Genomic DNA, 22,308 nt, shown 5'->3' with positions numbered 1-22,308 from the left:
CTTTTCTGGAGATATTTTTATACTGAAATTTCCAGAAATCCTGTGAGAGATTGAATCAAAATTAGATGCTCAGGGCTTTGGTTTCATCACGTTAGAGTGCTAATGGCAAGCAAGAACAGTTTTCTCACATTACAAAGCAGACCTAGAACACAGGCAGCCCCGGAAGACACTGGGAAGTAGACATAGTGATTTGGGACTAATTCATATTTTTCCAGGAGGTTCCTAGAGGGCAGAAGGTCCGCTCCTCAAAGGGAAAAGCTACATATTCCTGAACTTCACCCAGACTTTGAAAGGCCTGCTCTTAGAAGTTCCATCTCAGAAACTTAGTTTATTGCTACAATCATTGGGATTAGTCTAAAATTAACCTAGGGTGAGGATGAATAAATATATTGGTTATCATTTATTTTATTTTTCTCAATCTAAACAGATTTTTCTTTTTTCTTTTTTTTTTTTTTCAGGATTCAACAGGCACAACAACATTTTTAGGATTCACAGCTGCAGGCTTTGTGGTCTTTCAGGGAAATAAGAGAATCCATTTGATAAAATGGTAAGTGCCTCTTTGGAAAACTGGCTTTCCATTTTTCTTAATCTTGATTCCTCCGTCCCCTCCTTGGCTTCTCGGGCAAGTGTCAGGTAGAATGCCTGGTATCCATTTCCTTGCCTTGGAGCTTCATCATAAAGGGATGTAACATCTAGGTTGCCTTTGGTGGGGACTTGGATTTGCCAAGCTGAGGAGTCAACTTAGGAGGCGTGGGCTCAGGGGCTCTGCCTTCAAAGAGAAGGTATCCAGTGTTTCCTCACCAGTAGCTTCTACTGCTGTGGCCAAGGGGGGCACACGGATGGGTCAGGGCAGGGTAAAGGTGTGAGTTCCCATGAACAACTCAGGATCCACTCTCCCCAACTCACTTCTTTCCACTCTTCTCCTCTGTTGAGTCCTGGGTGCAAACTCACCCTTTGTTATCCAGTGTATCCGTGAAGATGCTTTTGGCAAAAGGTAGTAGGAATGTCTACTCATGATGGCTTACAAATAAGAGGACTAATCAGCTCACAGAGCAAACGTGGAGCAGTTCCCTGGTCTGTTAACTTAACTGCCTATTAACTTAAATGCCGGGAAGGATTTAGGTCTCTGTTTTTTTTTTTTTTTTTCTCTGCCATTCTCAGTCAGGCGCATTGGTCCTGAGGCTCCTGCTCCTGAGATGGGCATGTGCGGGACTGGCCTGCACATCTCCCCATGGCAATGCCCGGAGCCTGGAGGAGAGCAGCCCCTTCCATGTGTCTCCTTTTCAAACAAGGATAATTTTTTAGAAGCCCTGTAGGAGACTTCCTGTATACCTAATTGGACAGAATTGGGTCACATGTTTCTATTTAAACCGGTCCTTGCTGAAAAGAATGGGAACTCCAATATATAAGAACACAATTCTTTTGTAAACAGGGAAAACAGGAGTGAACATTTTGCAGTGCAGTGGATTTGCTTCTTGGAAATGGATGCAGAAGGAGGAGAAAGTCAGATACTGTGAATCCGCATCATTTCATTAACTGAATCTGAAATCACCACGTTCTTCCCACCTTGCTAAGTGGGCTGGGCAATTAATATTGTTCTGATCATTAATGTTCACGAACACTAGAGCTTCTTGGAAGAACGATGCAGCCTGACTGTAAATAATAGAATAAATAATTCTGAGCTCTGTGCGGATCCTCTCTTGGGAAGAGAATTGCTGTATAATTCACTCGAGGCTTTTCACTGCCCATTAGACCTTCACCAATGATAATACCTTGTTTCACTGCAATCTGCCTGGCATTTTTGAGTCAGATTCCTATGGGAAACCCAGGTACCTTGGTTAGCTGCCACTTTTTTTCTTCTTACCCAGAGATTTTCTTTTCTTAGGCCAGATGTCTGCAAATTGAAGTTTGAAGGGAAGACATTTTATGTGATTGGCACCCAGAAGGAGGTCAGATACTGCTTTTTTTTAACTGCCTGTTATTGTGTGTGCATGAGAGAGATTCAGGAGTAAAATATGCCTTTAGTATTGTAGTCGCCAAAGACCATGACTTTGAAGTGTATGGTGATAATGAAAGCTATATGCTAAAAATATTTTAGAGGCAAACAAATGAGTACTGGGTTTGTACATTGAACAATAAAGTCAGTAAGCAATGCTGATTGTACACCCCCATGTGCAAAACAGACTGGGATAGACTTTGGAAATAAAAGATGGAACCTCTCCCTACCTCTTTTTGCCAAGATACAGACATGTGAAACAAATAAAGAATACTTACAAAGCTAAATATTCAACAACCAGTGCTCATTAGAGTGTTATAAACAGAGCCTATTAGTCCAGAGAGTCTTAAAACAAGGGAGTTACTAGATATAGATTGTGGATTCACCAGGGAATGCATTTGTGCGGAGACCATTAACAAAATATTAAGCCTCAGAGGTAGCTCTAGAAATTTGCGGGTTTTCTTGTCATGAGTTTTCAGCCCAAGTACTAGTTCCTCAAGGATGGCAAATATGTTTTTAGGCTAATTCCAGTGTGACAGAGAGGTAGATGATGCCTGGAGTGTTGAGAAGCATTGTGAGGCTGATTTTGATCAGAAACAGGTCCTAGATACATTAGTGATATCTGCAAAGGGTGAGGGAGGGGTGAATACCATGTTAATAACACTGTAAATAACATAGCAATATGTTAAGTTACTTCAAGTCTGTGTAATAGGAGATAGGATACAAAGAGGTAAACACCTGAAAAAAAAAAACCCATGGAAAATGTAAATGGTATTTTACGTGCCTTTTCTTGTTTTGTTATTTTTTAATTAGAAAAAAGCCATGTTGGCATTCCATACTTCAACACCAGCTGCCTGCAAACATCTTTGGAAGTGTGGAGTGGAAAACCAGGCCTTTTATAAGTAAGTGGCTTTTATTCATTTAATTATAGCTTTTAAAAGCACCCATGGAATTCTTTATGTTTTGCAAATGGCTGCATATTTATTTCTTTTAATACAGTTTTAAAAGTTATATTTAAGTAAATTAAAATTTTGTGCATTGTTCAGGGTGACTCCCGGTGATTGTTGGCTTGTTGGCCTGACCGAGTTCTGAGCTCTATGTTGGATGTTTCCTGTGGAATGGCTGTGGGCCACTGTGTGTGTGTGTGTGTGTGTGTGTGTGTGTGTGTGTGTGTGTGTATTTCAAATAGCTATTTCCACAAAATATGTCACAGGATCAATTTTTGGTTGCCCTCCTCCCCCCACCCCCACAAAGCAGACCTTGAGATAGTTTGGTACAAGTAGCTTATTTGGGATGTAATCAATGGACATACCAGTAGGGGAGTGGTGGGGGGTGGTGAGATGGGGAAGCAATATAAGATGCATTATTGAGCAGGTCACTACTGTGGACAACTGGGCTCAGATCTTCTTAGGAACTCTGGGACATGGTATAATATGCCTCACAGTTCTCCTGCTGATGGGCAAAGAGGTGGGGCTGTTTATCTACCAATTCGCCATTTATTTTGGTTGAAGCCTGCTTTGGGGGCCAGAATTAATACTCTCTGATATTTCTGGCTTACTCTGAGTATGGGTTGGATGTGCTTTCACAACCAGAAAAAGAGACCTCTGGCAGAGAGTCACCTGTGTTCATAGTAAGAAGGCTTCAGTGTATTGAAAATAGAGCCAAAGGTTTATGGGTGGAATGCTGTCAGAGCCTAGGATCATAGAAAGTAGGTGCTGGACAAGACTTCAGAAACCATCTGTAAAGCTCTCAGGTTTCAAAAGAAGTTCAAACTGAGATCTGTGCATGGAGTTACACCTTCTTCTCTGAGAGACGCTTGCTGACTGGAAAGGCAGTGGTAGTGGATGCAACTAAGAACCTAGTCCAGCCCTGCTCAGGCCATCAGCACTGTACACCCCTGGACCTCATCCAGGTGGCTTTTGATCAGTCCCCCTGCCCCTTACAGTGAGATTCTGTCTTCCTGATTAGACTCATCTCCCTGAAAATGCTGTCTCTGAACCTCCTGGGCTTTGGCTGATGAGAACCATCAGGAGAATGATGGCTTGGATAATGATTTTGAAACCAGTTTCGGCCACAGAATACTTTTCCTTAATCTGAAGTATAGGCAAAGTCCAGCATGTAAAGGAGATAAAAAGAGAAGTTGTGGTGGTAGATGGGGCCTTGGATGGGATTGGAGATTGAAGGGTCTTTGCCCATTGTTCATTGCTTTTCAGGAGCTTGGGTGACCAGTTGTCCAGGTTGCCTATGCCTTTCCTAAGTTTAGCACTGACATCCCCATGTCCCAGGAAACCCATCAGCCCTGGGAAAACCCAGGAGCATAATTTGAACACCACTGGGTGAGATGACGCACAAAATGCTGTGCTAGGAATGATTGGAGAAGGTGATGTGTACCAGTAGACCTTCCTGTGACCACCACCACCTCAAGGTCTTTGTGTGCCTCCTGCATGTTTGGGGACTGATAAGGAAGGAGACCAGTTGGCCTTCGGAAAATCTACATGTCTAGAAGCCTTCACCCACATGAGAGTTCAGAGAGGGAAACACAGAGGGTTTGATGCTCTCAGTCTTTAGTTGGAGCCTTAGTGATTTTTTATTTTGTTTTAAAAAAAATTTTTTAAATGGAAATCTAATTTACATGCCGTAAAATTTACCCTTTTAAAGTATACAGTTTTGTGGTTTTTAGTGTAATTCACAAAGTGATATAGCCATTATCACTATCTAATTCCAGAATATTTTTATCCTTCCCAAAATAAACCTTATGCCAGTTAGCAGTCATTTCCCATTTCCTCCTCCCCCCAATCTCTGGCAACCACTAATCTACTTTCTGTTTTTATGGATTTACCTATTATAAGTTGTATATAAGTGGAATCATAAACGATGTGGCCATTTGTGCCTGTTGTCACAAAATGTGTCCAAAGTTCACCCATATTATAACATGTCTCAGTACTTTATTCCTGTTTATGATTGAATGACACTGCATTGTTTCAATAGACCACATTTGGTTTATCCATTCATCAGTTGATGCTCACTTGGGTTGTTACCTCTTTTTAGCTACTATGAGTAATGCTGCTACGAGCATTGGATACAAGTTTTTGTGTGGACAGTTCTCTTGGGCATATACCTAGGATGGAACTGCTGGGTCATAGGGTAACTCTATATTTAGCTTTTTGAGGACCTGACACATTGTTTTCAGTGCCTAAGCTTTTGGAACTCTTCTGTTCTTTCTTGAATGAAACCATCTGTTTCCTGTCAAAGGATAACTTACAGATGTTCAGTTAGTTATTTTCAGTGAATATTTTCTTGCATATGAGGGAATTAAAAATGGAGTGAAGAAACAAGGCAAAAACAAGATCTACCATGACATGATTTTATTACAGAATTTTATATATCTGTACTATGTATCTGTACTAGATCTGATTTCTATTTTTTTAACCTGTATTCATGATTTGTATTTAGGTTAAAGTCATGTAACATAAAATTAATTATTTTAAAGTGTACAATTCAGTGGCAGAGTATGTTTAAAATGTTGTCCAACCATCATTTCTATCTATTTCCAAACATTTTCATCAATCCCAGAAGGAAACTATATACTCACTGAGGAGTTACTCTCCCTTGTTCCTTTCTCCAAGACTTCTATTGGATTGTAGATTTTTCCATACCAACATGTCAGATCTGTAATCAGTTTGAACTCTCTGAGGGTAGGAACTTTTTCTGCTTTTTTTATTTCCTGAAGATCTCAGGCATTGAAAACACATTTACTAGCTCAGATTGATAAGGCATGATTCCTGTCCTCAGGAGATTGTTATTTCATGTAAGAGACCAAGGGGGAAATGAAAAAAAAAGAAAAAAGCTAGAGAGGAATCCAGAGGAGAGGGTGAATCTTGCTGCCAGGGGAGCTAGGAGGTAGAAGACCCTTTTAGGTGGAGGAAGGACATCCAAGCTCCCGTAGGGTACCATGGCAGGAATGTGGAGGATGCATTTTGTGGGACATGAGTGGCTACAAGGTTGGAGCAGAGGGTAGATGAGGTAGAAAAAGAGGTGATAAGGGACCAGGAGGTCTTGAGGCCAGACACGGATGGCTTGACCAGTGTGAAAGAGGCAACAGAGGTGCAGTAGGTGTGGTTGATCATTCTTTACGTGCAGACAGACCTATGGGAGGGGGTGATACAGGAGAACACCTAGCAGACAGGCCTTCCTTTAGAGCCACACAGCAAGTTTTGCTTGGAAGGACTTTGGCACAGCCTTGAAGATACTTTAGTGAAATCACTGGGTCCGTATCAAAGAATAACTTGGAGACATTCATTTGCTATTTCACGCACGTTGTTTTATCATATATGAGGAAGTCAGTTGGGAGACAGAGTTAAATAAAGGCAAAAACAAAATTGAGAGGAGAAAGGGAGAGAAAAAACCTGCAATATGGAAAATGTGTTTTACACATTTTGGGTAAGCAGATTAGCTGGCAGCTAGTAAGGAAGGTATTCTGGTAATTTTATCATGAACTAGGTAGGTCAACTTGGCATGTCAGAGAAGTCCCTTCCAGTCACTTGTGGATGCTTCAGAAGACTTGGAGGGTTTAGCTGTGAGCACAAGTGACAAACTGTATATGGTTGACCAGTCTTTGCATTGGCACTTTGGCTATAGTTAACCAAGCTACCCTCATCTCATTCGACTTCTAAACCTGAATATTTATAGCCGTCTGAGATTTGCCTGAACATTTTGTTCCTCCATTATCCCATAACCATCCTTGTTCCTGAGGAAGGAGGGGAAGTATCACTTGTTCTGGCCCAGCTGTGGGACCTTGGCCAGGTCACTTTAGTGCTGTCTGGTCTTAGCCTCCTCACCTGTAGAATGAATGGGCCTGGGACTGACCTGGGTGCATTTGCTTGTACCACTGGGGCATAGTGTAATGAGTGTGAGCTTTGGAAGTCAATGGGCTTGGTTCTAAGTCTTGACTCTGTCATTTATAGCAGTGTGGCCTGGAACAAAGCTGTTAATCTCTTGGAGCCTCATCTTTATTTTTCATCTGTGAAATGAGATTGAATTACCTGCCTTGCTGTGCTCAGTTCTGCCAGGCATATGAACCATTGATGAGCAGAAGCTGCTGCTGTATTACTGCCCCCTCTGCTAATGATGAGAGTATTTTGAGCAGCAGTTGGATGAAGAGCCCACTCCTTTTCATTGGGAAGACTCTGATTATGGTAACCTCAGGGGTATGCCTGCTTCCTTCACTGTGACCACCCTTCCCTGGGCAGAGGTCCTGGCCCTGCTTCTAGCTCTGTCCTGCTGGCCCTGCATTTTAATGGTTTCAGCTGGCAGAGCAAGGCCCTAATCTTGTTTCCTAGATGGTTTGTTCCTTCCATTTTTACTTCACCTGCATGGGAGCGGGGAGGCCCGGGGCCTCTGCTTGCGAATTCCCCAGTGTGCTTTTAGGACGCAAATGCGCTGCTGGTTGTCAGCTGGCCCAGGGCCACAGATCTGTTTTGAAAGCCCTGGCTCTGAGATCTGCCTGGGAATGGAGCCCAGACGCAGAAACTCTGATTTTTCCCGCCTACTCCAGACCCCAGGGGATCTCCAACACAGACTTATTCACCATTTAAGAGCTTCCTTTATACCATGTGTGGTCTGTCATGGTGCTGCCAACCCCAGAGCTCACTGTTTCTGGGTGCTGGTTCACTGAAAGCACACTGGACGCATTGAGGGATTCAGTGGCTCACTGATGTTTTCATTAACAGCATCTTTATCTCACAGTTTTTGCTGTGTACTGGATACATGGTTGAGGCTGTATGACACTGTGTTCCCAATTTGTTTTGGAATTGTGTGCAAGGGATAAAAGCAGTTCCTAATACATTTCTTATTCAGAGTTTGGTGTACATTTTGTCAAAGGAACAGTGTTATGCTTGGTAGGTAAGAACCCAGACTAGCTCCCTAAACAAGTGCCTCTCACACTTGAATGCACACATGAATGAGCTGGGGAGCTGGTTAAAATGTGCATTCTAATTCAAAAGGTCTGGGGTGGGCATGAGAGTCCATATTTTTAATAAATTCCAGGGGATACTGTGCGGTGGGTCCGTAGACCACACTCCAAGTAATAAGGTTCTAAATCAGCAGTTCTCAATCCTGACTACATTAACATCACCTGGAGGAGCTTTTAAAAACTATTAATACCAGTGCTATGGGTCCCTGCATCCTACCCCAGACCCAATTAAAGTGGAATCTGGGTCTTCATTAAAACTTGTGCACAAGCGTTCATAGCAGCATTAGTCGTAATAGCCAAAAAGTGGAAACAATCCAATGTCCATCAAATGATGAATGGATAAACAAAATGCGGTATATCCATACAATGGTATATCATTCAGCCATAGAAAGGAATGGAGAACTGATACTACAACTTGGATGAGCCTTGGAAACAGTATGCTAAGTGAAAGAAACCATTTACAAAGCACCACATATTGCATGAGTCCATTGAAATGAAATATCTAAAATGGCAAATATATAAACTAGATGAGCGGTTGCTTAGGGCTGGGAGTGGTGAGATGAGGAGGGGAATCAGGGAGTGACTGCCAATACCCATTGCAGTGACAGGTGGTTTCTTTTGGAGGTGATGAAAATGTTTTCGTATTAGATAGTGGTGATTGATTTTCGTAATTTCTTTTTTTAACTTCATGAATTATACTAAAACCCACCAAAGTGTACAATCTAAAAGGGTGAAATTTAAGGTATGTAAATTATATCTCGACAAAGCTGTTATTTTGAGAAATCTGAATCTGGGATGAGGAACCTAGGTGTTGGCAGTGCTAGAAGTTTCCCAGTTATTGCTAACATGCCATTGAGGGGTTAAGACATTGCTTTAGTTCAGTGATTCTCCCATCAGGTCCCTGGACCAGCATCATCACTCCCGGGATTTTTTGGAAATGCAGATTCTTGGGCTCTTCCCCAGATCTACTGAATCAGAGACAGGTGTTTTAAAAAGCCTTCCAGGTGATTTGTTGCTCACTAAAATTTGAGAGCCAGTACGACTAGAGCATGATTTTTTAAATACTGAAATCAGACAGACTAGGATTTATAGCCTGGTTCCTGCAGCTTCTATCATGGAACCATGGTAAAGTGATTAAACCTCTCTGTGCCTTATTTTCCTTATGTGAAAATGCGGATCCCTTCCTCCTGGTAGAGAGCCGTGAGGATAAAATGAATTGTATATTAAAGGTGCTTTGGATGGGGCATTGCCCATATTAAAGGCTCAGTAGTAAATGCTGTTATTGTTATGGTTACTCCAGGAACTCTAAATTATGACTTCAATGGGAAATAGTGTTGTTAATTCTAGAGGTGGCCTCTTGGAGCACCACCCAATGTCCCCCCAGTACCTATCCTGATCTTCAAGCCCCTGGAATAGCAGGGTTCAGAGGAGAAATTGCAGGTTGGGGAGAGGGGAGGTGTGCTCCTGCAGAGACGATCTGGATTTCTTTGTGAGGTCAGATGTTTGGGCATAGTCATACTTCTTGTGTTGGGACTTTGATGGGGAGTTGGAAGTTGAAGTGGGAGACGGCGGGTGGAAAGGAAGGCAGAAGGCTGTAGGAGAGCGAATTGCTGTTCCAATGAGGCTGTGAACTCATTGCTTTCTGTGGGAAGAATACTCTTCCCTGGGCTTGCTGTTGATGGGAGAGTCTGGTAAACAGAGTGCTCAGAACATTTTGGCTGGAGTTAGAGCTCTTTTATTTGCTTTCAGAGTGTTTAACATGGTTTTCTGGAACCTCCATAATTTAGAGGATTGGCTTTGGTAGCTTCATAGTGAGAAGGCGATGAAGAGGTTTGAGATTGATATTAGGGAGGGAGGAAGGTGGGAAGGGAGGAAGGGAAACTATTATATAATGAGCAGGTATGATGCTAGGTGCTTTCAAATCATTTACTCTTGTGTAACCCTCCTGAGAGTACTATGAAATATTATGACACCCTCCCCCTTTAATAATATGTAGAGAAACCGAGGCTCAGCAAAGCCACATGGCATGACCAAGGTCACAGAACCAGACGTGAATAGGAATCTGGACCACTGTTCTTTCAGGTGAAATGTCACCTCTTGGGTCATCCTAGGAGAATTTGGGGGTACAGAGTTTCTCCAATGTAAGTGGACTTCTTGGAATCCCCTTAAGGTGCTTGATTAAAGTCAAGCCCCTCTTCAGACCCACTGAATCAGAATCTCTCATGATCAAGCCTGAGAACCTGTGTTTTTTATACCTACTCCAGGTGTCTGATGCCCGGCCAGGTTTGGGATCTGGTACTCCGGATTCATGTACTTTAACCTGGCCACCATTCTTTCTCCTCTCTCCATTCCCCTCCCCTCTACAGCCTTGTTTCCCAATTCCCAGTGCATGGGTGTCATTTGAGCTCTCAGAATAAACTGCCTGTTAACGTTTCATTAAAAATCTCAGCTGAAACATTCTGGGAGTTCACCTGGACATTTGGGAGGGCAGGGGATTCGTGGGAATGCTCTGAGGCAACTGTCTCTGAGCAAATCAGATCACCTGCAGATACTCCTCCAGGGGAACCCGCAGCCAGAAAGACGCACAGTCTTTTCTCTCTGCTCATCCTGAGCATACAGCTACTGGCCATCTTTGTGAAATGTATCTTTTGACCTGCTTCTTTTGAGTCACTTTGAGGGTTTTTGGGAAGCAGTACTGAGACTGAGACTTCCCTCTAAGAGGCCAGTCTGGGTTCAAGCCGATGATAGTGGCTTCCTCCTGGGGCCTGGAAGGGCCAGAGCTAAGGCCAAACTAGTGAAAAAGAGCCACCTGAGTGGCCAGGAGGTTGACTCACACCTGCGCCGGCTTTGCCGGCTTCACGTGTCGCTTCTGTAGAATGGGCAAAGTGTTGAGTTTGAATTTTAAAAACCCAATTAAGAAACTCAATCTTTTTTTTTTTTTAAGCCAACCACTTTGTCCCAAGGATCTTTAGGAACTTGGAATTAAAAAAAAACACATACACAATAAAAAATAGAAGCTTCTTTAAAGCTTTCTCTTCTCCCAATCTTTGAGGACTTGGGAGCAACCCTTCCAAGAAGATGGGGAGAGGGCAGAGGTGATTGTCCTTTTCTCAGGCTCCAGTAGATAAAGTGTCAGGCCACAGCTCTGTAGGGCTAGTGGGGAGTTTTAGGGGGTGCAGATGGACCCAGAGCAGGCATGTCCTCATAGGAGGTGGAGGGCACAGCTGGGACCATCTCAATGCAGCTTGCTGGGGGTTTCTAGCCTCGTGAGTGGGTGTGGTCTGGAAGGAAGCTCCAGCCAGCACACTGCAGGGCCCCCCCCAGGGCCATGGCTCTCACGTGCCTCTGTGTGTCCTCAGGGGTCCTGTACCATTTTCTCTGGGCCCTGCCCTGACAGGATCCCCCTGCCAAGCCCTGTGCCCTCCCTTGCCCATCTTACTCTCCCTGCTTAATATTTGTGTCCAGTGCCCTTCTGTGTCATCTTTGGCTGTTTACACAGGTGGTGGGAAGGGGCTTCTTTGCAAAAGATTGTTCCTATGGCTTTCCATTGTTCTCTCGATAAAGACCAAGATCCTTAACAAGGACCACTTAAGGTCTGGTCCTGGGAAATTGGATTCTGGCTCTCTGTCCAAGTTTGCCTTATTCTCCTTCGTACATCTGTACATTCACTTATCTTTATTAGGAAAGGAAAAAAAATATGTGTGTGTGTAGTAATAATAACATGGGAAAATGTGCATTGAGTCTTTTAAAAATGTATTTTATATATTTTTAAAAAATTTCAATACCTTTTGGGGTACAAATGGTTTTCAATTACATGGATGAATTATATTGTGGTAAATTCTGAGATTTTGGAGCACCTGTCAATTAGTGTATATTGCACCTAATGTGTAGTTTTTATCCCTGGCCCCTACTACCCTCCCCTTCTGAGTCTATAAAGTCCATTATATCACTCTGTATGCCTTTGCATATGCATAGCTTAGCTCCCACTTAGAAGTGAGAATATAGAATTTTTGGTTTTCCATTCCTGAGTTGCTTAACTTAGAATAATTGAGTGTTTTGAGTTCTCTAGATGTTTAGGCTGATGGCTTTGCGCCTGCTGGCCCTCTGCTGGGTATATCCACCACCACTTGCACCGTGCCCTGGTTAACACCTTTCAGCCTCTGGATCTCAACTCAGATGTCCCTTCCTCAGGGCATCTTCTCTGGCCCCCAGGCTAGATCAGCCATGTGTCTTTCTTGTACTTACCTTGGTGTGTAGAGCAGGGATGGCACTCAGTTAATGATTGCTGAGTGAATAAAGGAAGCTTCAAGAGGCTCAAGGGTGGGGATCACTGCGCTGAAACTTCCCTGGCTCCGTGCATGTCTTTGCTCAGGATGCTACAGATCATATTGATTTTGTCTGTGTGTGTTTAAGATTTTGTGACTATCAATATTTTAAACGATGCTGAACTCTCTGAGACCTGTTCTTTCTAACTTGTTGGATTTAATTGTACAAGGCTTAACATGACTGCTGTAGAGCCATCCTCAGCTGTCACAGTAATTTAGTGCCCTGTGTGCAGCCTTCCGGCAGCCCAGGCTCTAGGCTGCTTTTCAGAGTGTTGTTGTTTTGCTCTTATTTACGAGTAGGGCTCAGAGGTGCTGAATCAGTTCTTGTCTGGGCAGCTTCTGCCTCGTGTATCTTAGTCATCTACCACTGTGGGTTCTTTTAAAGGGCACTGGGTCATGGTGACACAGAAGCCAGTGACCATTCCTGTGGTGATGCGGGACCCTTGTTCCCTCACTTGGGCAATGCACAGTGAGTTCTTCGTGGCATAGTCAGTGACCTCTGTTGCCAGGAAGCTGTTTTCTGCCTCACTGTGGATACAGGAATAGGCAGCAAAGTGCCCTAACAACCACGAACTTCCTGATGCCATGTCACAAAATTCCCTCTTCTCCATATCTTCAGATAGAAATTAGGGGAGAATTCCTTCTGATCATCACTGCCCAGTCCTTTTTGCAGGTTGTGACCCACTAATGAATTATGAAACCCAGTATGTGGGTCATGAATTTAAAAAGAATGAAAGGAAATAGCGTAGAAAATATTAGAATGCAATACACATAGTGAAAGTAACTATTCTTTTGTGAAGCTTTTCTTATATTTTGTGTGCACAATGCAGGCTGAGTCACAAGGTAAATTACATTTCTTTCTTGCAGTAAAAATACCCCATCACCACACCTCTATAGCATGTTGTAAGTGGACTTTCCAATGTCCTAACCACCTGTGCTTTGCTTTTTCTTAAAGGTATGCAAAATCCAGTCAGATCAAGACTGTATCAAGCAGCAAGATATTTTTTAAAGGAAGTAGATTTCGATATAGGTGGGTACCAATGGTTCCATTTCAGTGAGGGGGTGGGGATGGGCAGCCACTTAAATTTCAAAATTCTGCTTGCAAATAAGTGGCCTTTGGCTTGTGCCTCTGTTTGAGTCTTCCATTTCTACTCCATTGCTGTCTTATGCTCACAGGGCACCCTCAAATTCTACCGTAATTTTCCCCCTCATGATTTCTATAGCTGGGTCAGACACCTGTGAAGTTAACAAAAGGACACTTGTGCATATCCCTCCCATTCTTCTCTGACTATGTGTGCATACACATGTGTTTCTGTCTTTTGCAGTGGGAAAGTTGCCAAAGAGGTGGTGGAGGCCAGTTCCAAGATCCAGAGGGAGCCTCCTGAGGTGCACAGGTGAGTGGATGATCACTGTGGGTTCCAGGTGGCTTTAAAAGCTGGCTTTTCCAAATCCCCTATAACATCCCTTTGTGTAGTGACATACAGCATTAAAGAAGGACATTCTCACTTCCTTAGACATCTCACTCAGACAGATTTGCCTGGGCCATGGCATGAGCACAGCTGGGCTCCACTTTGAGTTATGTGCTCTCAGGAGAGTCATTGATTAGGTCTGGAGCGTCACCTTAACAAGCAGGATGCTGTGCCATTGCCTGGGCAAACTCTGTCATCTCATCCTTTTAATCACCTGGCCAAACTCTGTCATCTCATCCTCTTACAAGTTCTCTGTTCCTGCCTGTATTCATCATATTTGGCCCGTTCCCATTGGCCTGACTCCGGGCTGACCTTTCATGGGGCCATTACTCTCTAGGGCCATGCAGAGGAATGAAGGACTTAGTCATTGTTGGCTCAAGAGTACACACCTCCATTAAGGTGACGATATGCAGTCATTCTTAAGAATTAAATATTCTCTTGCCATGTTGGACTTCACACTACCACAATTTACACAAATCATTGCCCATCCTAAACCTCAAATATGCTGCATATCTAAAGCTCAGCATTCTCAACGTGTTGCCTCCCACTTTTTAAGGAAAGATCACCATGAGCTAAATTATTTAGGAAGTCCCCCTACACTGGTTTGCACCTGCCCTTTCTTTCCCATCTTTGAAACCCAGAGGTATTTCCTTTATGCTTGGATTTTCCAGTTTCCTCCATTTCCAGGGTGACTAAATGAGCTGGGTGCCTCTCCACCCTGTCCCTTGGGGTTGTTGGGCAGGAGGAGGCTGTGGTCCCACAGAAGTGTGGCTAAGCCAGCCTGGAGAAGCATCCAGATGGCATTTCTCTCCCACACCGGGGAGCAGAAGTGCAGTTGGCATGATATCCCATGTAGATGTGTACAGAAGAAAATTTGTTCCTGCTTTGGGGTGACTTGGTGAGGAGCTGTAATGTGAAAGTCTGCAAAACCAGGCTATCACACTGTAAGAAGCAGAAGACTACAGGATGAGAGAAGCTGGAGAATCTTGGCTCCAGGCATGTTGGTGCAGATCCTGAAAGTGCAGCCTGCCCACCAATGAGAAAAGTCTTTATGGTTCCCTCCTCTTCCCCAAATTGTACTTATTCAATGCAGCAGAAATGAAGAGGAAATGATAAAACATATCATTCATCTGTTTCAGAATCTTTGAACTGGAAATGACCTCAGGGATTGCCTAGTTTGATGCTTCTGTTTTGTAGACAAAGAAACTTGAGTCTCACACAAGTTAAGTCATTTATCCAAGGTCCTGACTTTTTTTGATGGCAGACCTAAGCCTAGAACTCCAGTGTCCTGCTTCTGTGTTCTCAGCTCTTTTCTCTGTAGCACCCTGAGAGCACCTGGCATTTTCTTAGAAGCTGGTAGTGGAGGTGGAACTACCCCAAGTGGTTCAGCATGCATTTTATTCTTCCAGGTTGAAGCTCAAATATTTGATCTTAAATACCTGATGCTGAGGGAGTTCTCCTGGTAGCACAAACACAAAGCAGGACACTTTTTTTGCAATATACTTTCAGAGATACATATTCCAAAAAATAAGGCTTTTTGAGTCTCAAAGTTACCATCTTTGGATGGTTAATGAGGTCAATAAAGAATTTTTTTAAATGCTTCTCTTGTAAATTTTGGTTTGAATAATTTATGGAAACCAAGGCTTTCTAGCTCAGGGTTTCTCAAATTGTAACTTGCACAGGGATCACCTCAGGATTCTGTTAAAATCAGATTCTGATTCAAGAAGCCTGGAGTGATGCTTGAGAGTCTGTGTTTCTAACATTTTCTCAGATGATGGTCACGCGGCTGGTCCATGGGCCATACTTTGAGTAGCCAGGCTCTTGGTAACAGGTGGTGGAAGGGTGAAGGGAGCAGGCTTGCTGGAGTGAAGCACTTTTCTTGGAGTAGACTGAACCCCAGAGTGCGAGGAAAGTGGATACATGCTGAGGCATCCACCAAATCATAGTTTCCCTTTTCTGGAATCTTCTAAAATCTCCCAAGATATTACTGCAAACAAGGACCTGGGGGCCCTTGAGACCTGCTTTGAATGCTCTTTCTGTTCCACCTCCCCCTGGGCATATGAAAGACTGTTGAGTTCACATCCTTAGGATGCCTCCATGGTTCTTTGCAGCATCTCTCAAATCTCTGACAACACCAGAAAGAATTTGATTAATGTAATGCTACAAAGCAACCTCTTGGAGGAAAGGACCGTGTCTATCTTGGTCATCTCCATGTCCCCCAGCACCTAACACAGTGCTTGCCACATAGTAGAGGTCAATATATAGCTGTTGAATGAATGCATGAGCTAGGAGTATGGGATGACAGCAGCACCTGTCATTTTCTTTGATGTGAGATCTGTCCAAGGTGCTGCCCCGGGGACCTCAATCTCCCCAGAGACAGCATTGTGGTCAAAGCCATAGTGATGTGTGAAACCTTCATTCAGGCAACTCCTCCTTCCATCCCAGTAGCTGGTTGTGTGGTAGAAAATTGTTCCTCTTGGACACTTGTTTGGTTTTCAAAGTATTTCAGCTTCTTTGAAGCTGCTGTCAAAAGTGAGAATGTAGTAATAAGCTCTCCTCTTGTGGTGGGCGTTCAGAGGTGATAGTCTACAATGGTGGTGATAATACTTTAATTAGTGAATTTTCTTCACATTCTGATATTCTACTCTTCAAATAATGCCAAGTTCACAGACTCCTACATCTGCTGAGGTGTGTGTGTTTATGTAGAGAAACAGAAGCAGACTGAGAACACTTTCTTGGAATTTTTCTTCTTCAAAAAGAGGAGCAGAAGCTAACTCTGATGTTTTCATGCTGATCATCATTGATGACAAGATACCCAAGCCAAACCCTCCTGAACTGGCCACTGGGTGACAATCATCTGCCTGTTCCAGAGGCCCAGTGAGAGGGCTGTAGCTTGGTGAGCCGAGGGCTGGTTGTGTGAGCCACCTGGGCATAGCAGCCACCACAGCAGACACTCTGAGGCAGCATTTTTACCGAACACAAGCACCTGTGTAGGGGTCACGAGTGGGTTCTAATCTTAGCTGTGTTGTTTGCCAACTGTATGGCCTTGGGTAAATCACTTCTCAGATCATCAGCGTACTCATCTATAACATGAGATTTACAACATCACTTTGCCCAACTTCTAGGCTTTGTTATGAGTATTAAAGTGCTTTAAAAATTCTAAAGTGCCATACAAATATGAGGTGTTGATAATATTACTACCATCTCTTATCCAAAAATGAAAAACTGGAATATGACAGATACATTCACATTAAAATCCCTCCAGGTGGAGTTTTTAGAGGCTGGCACTACTTCTTTTAATTTCAAGGAGGGATATAGGAACTCCAGGAGTCACTATTTTATGCTACCATTTTTGAGTCCTGAGTCTGCCTATATAAGCATCTTTTAGTTGAGTTACATAATGTCAGTTTCCTCACCTGTAAATATGGTATTTTTCTTGCCCATCTTACATGCACAATGAGAAAAACAAATGGGATAAATATATTCAAACCACATTTGCCCCAGTATTAGAATATAATTGTAGTTCCCAAAGGAAACCTTTCTATTTCAATAGAGTTCTTAATGACAACTTCATTTGGAGACCATTCTATGCTGGGAGTACATGCATGAGTGGGGCTGCAAAGCGGGCCAGATATTTTTGCAGAGTCATCTGATAGATGGATTCTGAGAGTGGAGAAACATGGCACGTATCCTAGCCTGGCCTGGAGGGACCTCAGGCATAAACACAGTTACCTCAGGAGTTCAGGTGGAAAGGCAGAGTGGAAGCTGACTGGGACATCTGCACATACTTCAGAAAGTGCCTGACACAGTGGGACCTCATGTAGCCAGAAACAGGAGGACAGTAGGGGTAGCAAGCAGAGTCTCCTTTGGGACATTGCAGGCCAAATCATGCAGAAAGGCAGTGTGCAGCATAGCAAAAGCCTTGGACCAGGAATCAGATTATCTGGCTTTGAGCTTTGAGTCCTAAGTTTGCCCATATAAGCGTCTTTAGTCACATTACATAAGCTCCCTGAGTCTCAGTTTTCTCATCTGCAAATATGACATTTACCTTGCCTGTCTTATAGGCAAGACGCACTAAGAGAAAAAGATGAGGTAAAGTTTATACAAACAACTTTGCAAATGAAAAGAAGATAGCCATTCAAATTTGCGTATTATATTTGTCATTAGTTCAATTGGGCTGGCGGGCTCTTGCTTTAAATGAAGCCAGGATCAGTTGGCACCTTTAAAAAGTTTAAAGAGAGAATTAGGTAAGAAGGTGTAATCTTTAGTTTAAAGGAGTTGGTAGATTTATTAGTCCAGTTGGGTTGCTATAACAAAATACCATAGACCAGGGTGGCTTATAGACAACAGAAATTTATTTCTCACAGTTTTAGAAGCTGGGAAGTCCAAGATCAAGACACCAGCAGATTGAGCATCTGGCAAACACCTGCTTCCTCATAGATGGTGCCTTCTTGCTGTGTCCTCACATGGCAGAAGGGGGAAACAAGCTCTCTCAGACCTCTTTTATAAGGATACTAATTCTATTCATGTGATCATGACCTAATCACCTCCTGAAGGCCCCACCTCTTAATACCATTACATTGGAGTTTAGGTTTCAACAAATGAATTTTAAGGAAACACAGACATTGAGGCCATCACAATAGCGAAAGGTGGGAGACTTGGCCTGTTGTTTTTTAATGTTGCTGACTCTTTCCCCCAGGCTGTCAAAGTGCCTCACATTGGGCTGGGAGCCCTGGATTCTTTGTGCTTCAGGGAAATCCCTAGTTGTATCCACCTTTGGGTTTATCTGAGTCTTATACTTATCAGGGAAGAAATGTTCTTCTCTGAGTCATATTATTGGAGAGTCTCAGGGTTGTAATCCACTGCAGGAGTCACCTGGTCTAATACAAGGCACGTCCTATATGCCCCTGTCCCTGGCCATGGGCCTCTGCTACACCAGAGAAACAGGAGCCTATGAATGTAGGGGCCGAGCTGGCATCCTCCTGGCCATCTAATGCCAAGGCAGGCTCATACCTGGGATATCAGCCTGGTGAGCCCAGCCTGTCTTAGAGCTAGGCAATTGTCTGGACATTGCAATGTTGTGGGTTGGGGGCAGCAGGATGCTTGGTATCTCCAGCTACAGAATGTTGGAAGGAGGTCTGATGGGGAGCAAAATAAGCTCATAAAGGCTCACCGAGGGCCCATCGTTGTAGCATAAGCAGTGATTCCTGGGGATAGGAACAGCAGCCAGTCCAGCTGGCATGGATGGTCAGAGGTGGAGTAGAGCAATTCAGAACTGCACGTGCAAGAATGGATGGATGGGCTTTTCAGAGGTCAGAAAGCTACACAGACCACACAGGAATGACAGTATGTTGTCCTTGCAGAGTTAGAATCATAGTCATGAGTGGCCATGACCAGAAGAAATCCCAGGAGAGCTCAAAAACTGAGAACCCTTCACAATAAAAGAAGAAACTGCTCATGGCGAATTTTTATCCCTCCCTTCCTCCCTCCCTCCCCTCCTTCCTTTTGTAAAGATTTCTCTATCTACGGTTCTTTCCCTGTAGAAAGCACTGTGCTCACCAGAACAGCTGCAGGCCTTGCCTCCCTTGGGAGATCACTCCTGGCTCTCTCCTCACTCACACCGGATTAGGTGCCCCTCCTTTGTGCTCCCATGGGACCCTGGCCATCAGTCACCTTCATGAGAGGCACGGTGTTCCAGCTGTGGCTACAGCACATAAAGGAGTCATGTGGCTGGGCGTGGTGGCTCACGCCTGTAATCCCAGCACTTTGGGAGGCTAAGGTGGGTGATCACCTTAGGTCAGGAGTTTGAGACCAGCCTGCCCAACATGGTGAAACAGTCTCTACTAAAAATACAAAAATTAGCTGGGCATGGTGGCAGATGCCTGTAATCCCAGCTACTCGGGAGGCTGAGGGAGGAGAATCACTTGAACCCAGGAGGTGGAGGTTGTAGTGAGCCGAGATCGTACCACTGCACTCCAGCCTAGGCGACAGAGTGAGACTCCGTCTCAAAAAAATAAAAAATAAAAAATACAAAGTTGGGGGTAGTTATGAAATAAAGTAGTGATCAAGACTGGGACTTAAAATGAACTAGAATTTTAAAATAGTGGATTATACATAGATATGTAACTATTGTTCCATAAGACATTAATTTCAGTTGTGCTTCTTCCTGTGTGTGTTTGGGTACAGGGAGATTATATAAAATGTGTTTCTTGGGGCTGGGCGTAGTGGCTCAAGCCTGTAATCCCAGCATTTTGGGAGGCCGAGATGGGCAGATCATGAGGTCAGAAGATGAAGACCATCATCCTGGTTAACACAGTGAACCCCGTCTCTACTAAAAATACAAAAATTTAGCTGGGTGTGGTGGCACACACCTGTAATCCCAGCTACTCGCGAGGCTGAGGCAGGAGAATTGCTTGAACCCAGGAGGCAGAGGTTGCAGTGAGCCGAGATTGCACCACTGCACTCCAGCCTAGGTGACAGAGCGAGACTCTGTCTCAAAAAAAAAAAAAAAGTATTTATTAATGTAGGTCTCAGACCAGAAAGCTTAAAAATTATGGTTCTAGACAGTGAGTTACTTAAGGTGAGGACTACAGTTCTCTGGAGCAAAGCAGAATGTCCAATTTGTATATATCAGCTGCAGAGTAAATGGCTGTAAAATGAAATAATGAAGAAAAGGACTCCATGGCTAAGCAAGTCCTCATAAATTTCCTTTCTAGCCCATGCCAGCCATGGGAGCTTTTAATTCAAGATGGTAGCAGGCATCTTGCTGTTCCCCACTCCTGCTGCCCAACAGAAACACTCAGGCTAGAAGGTAGTCCTGCAGCCGGTCTAGGGAACACTCTGACCAGGCTGAAATGGCAACATATGTCAAGCCAGGATTGCATTTGGTGCACTTTAGTTTCAAACCTGAACACATTTTCACAAGATGCCAAGTGAGATGCACAAGTATGGCTGGCTCAGTCTCTGCCCTTAAGGTGCTTATCTAGGTGGGGATGATCAGTACACCAATAACTAGACAGAGACAGAGGTGAAAATGCAGTGAGTTATGAAAGAAGAGAAAGTAGTCAAAGAGAGGGAGAGGAAGGGAGAGAGAGAGAGAGAGAGACTGTGTGCATTGGGAGGAGCAATCTGGGAAGGCTTCCAGGGGAAGGAAACATTTGACTCCTTTTTAAAGTATGCACTGGTTTTGGTTTTGACAGGAAGCATGGGGAGTGAGGAAGGGTGTGCAAACATCCACCTGCAGGCAGACTAGGGCAAGCAGCTAGTATCTCTGCAGCAGGTAGGGCAAGCGGGCTCCCCAGCTCCCAACCAATAGGCTTAATGAGATACCTGCACAGTTTCCTTGCCATCTGTTGCTAGTCTCAGCCAGACACACCTGCATGCTCCTTTCCAGAGGAGAAAACAGAGCCATGGCCAGTTAGTGAGTAGGGTGTAACTTTGAGAATATTAAACACTGATATTAAACATTGGACATCCAGCAACACAAAGATAGCTTATAGCTGTAGAACATCTGCATCATCTATCTGGCAGGGGTTTTTGTTTTTGTTTGTTGGTGGTTGTTAAATTTCTCTGAGCCATGCCCTTCATTCACTTTTCTACATATCTAGTTCAGTGCTAGCTACCTCCCATGTCTTTTTGTTTCTTCTTTCTTTTTTTTTAAAAAACGCCCAGGCTGTCACCTAGCATGCTCAGGGCTGGTGATGTATTGGGAACTGTATTTTCTTTCGTTGAGTTGCAGTAGAACATAGGGACATTTGGTCAGGACCTTAAGAGCAGAAAGGGCCATTTATCTTGAATGTTACGTCATCTTTACTACTGGCTCAATTCACTGTGTCTGGAGGTAGTTCCCTGTAGACACAAAATGGTAGCTTGGGCAGCCCGCTGAGATGGAGGGGCCAGCATTTGTGATGGAAACCAACTCTGTCTGGCTTGTGTCTGTTTTCAGAGCCAACATTACTCAGAGCCGCAGTTCCCACTCCTTGAACAAACAGCTCATCATTAACATGGAACCCCTGCAGCCCCTGCTTCCTTCCCCCAGCGAGCAAGAAGAAGAACTTCCTCTGGGTGAGGGTAAGTCTGTCTCTTCATCCCAAATGCTGGTGCTGCAGGCTTCCTCTGGAAAAAACAAGGGAGGCGCCAATTCTGCATATGATGGGTAATTGATTAGTGTATGGGGTGGAGTGGGCCATAAACTATGTTTTTAGTAAATAAGCTTTTTGCAGCTGGAAGGCTGTATTATACTGGGAGCTCTATTAGTTTCTCTTGGAGAGACTTCACTGGTATAAAGTATTTCTAAAATTATATATGAAAAGACTAATGGTGTTAGACCTACACCAGTCCAGTACACTAACCATTAGCCATGTGTGGCTGTATTAAACTAAGTTTAAATTCATTGTAATTAAAAATCCATTTCCTCAGTCACAATAGCCAGATTCTCAGTGCTCAATAGCCACATGTGGCTGGTGGCTGCCATATTGGACACTGAGACTGAGATAATTTCCTCTATCACTGAAACTTCTATTGGATGTTGATGTCTGCCACTGTAAT

The 22,308-nt window shown here is 43.8% G+C and overlaps 1 protein-coding gene across 11 annotated transcripts in view; it reads left to right on the top strand.

The window, feature by feature from the left end:
• The window catches only part of FRMD3 (FERM domain containing 3), a 342,803-nt gene that overhangs the window by 273,361 nt on the left and 47,134 nt on the right, over positions 1–22,308 (top strand). For all 11 annotated transcript variants that reach the window (NM_001244959.2, NM_001244961.2, XM_024447487.2 and 8 more), the window contains 6 exons: positions 459–547; positions 1,886–1,949; positions 2,810–2,898; positions 13,248–13,322; positions 13,618–13,686; positions 21,707–21,831. In NM_001244959.2, the coding sequence (NP_001231888.1) occupies positions 459–547; positions 1,886–1,949; positions 2,810–2,898; positions 13,248–13,322; positions 13,618–13,686; positions 21,707–21,831 (511 nt within the window). The remainder of the gene's footprint in view (positions 1–458; positions 548–1,885; positions 1,950–2,809; positions 2,899–13,247; positions 13,323–13,617; positions 13,687–21,706; positions 21,832–22,308) is intronic.

Source organism: Homo sapiens, chromosome 9 (assembly GCF_000001405.40).
Source record: "Homo sapiens chromosome 9, GRCh38.p14 Primary Assembly".
In the NCBI taxonomy this organism is placed as follows: Eukaryota; Metazoa; Chordata; class Mammalia; order Primates; family Hominidae; genus Homo; species Homo sapiens.
The sequence above is the reverse complement of the archived record's forward strand: the minus strand, read 5'-3'. Positions and strand labels throughout refer to the sequence as shown.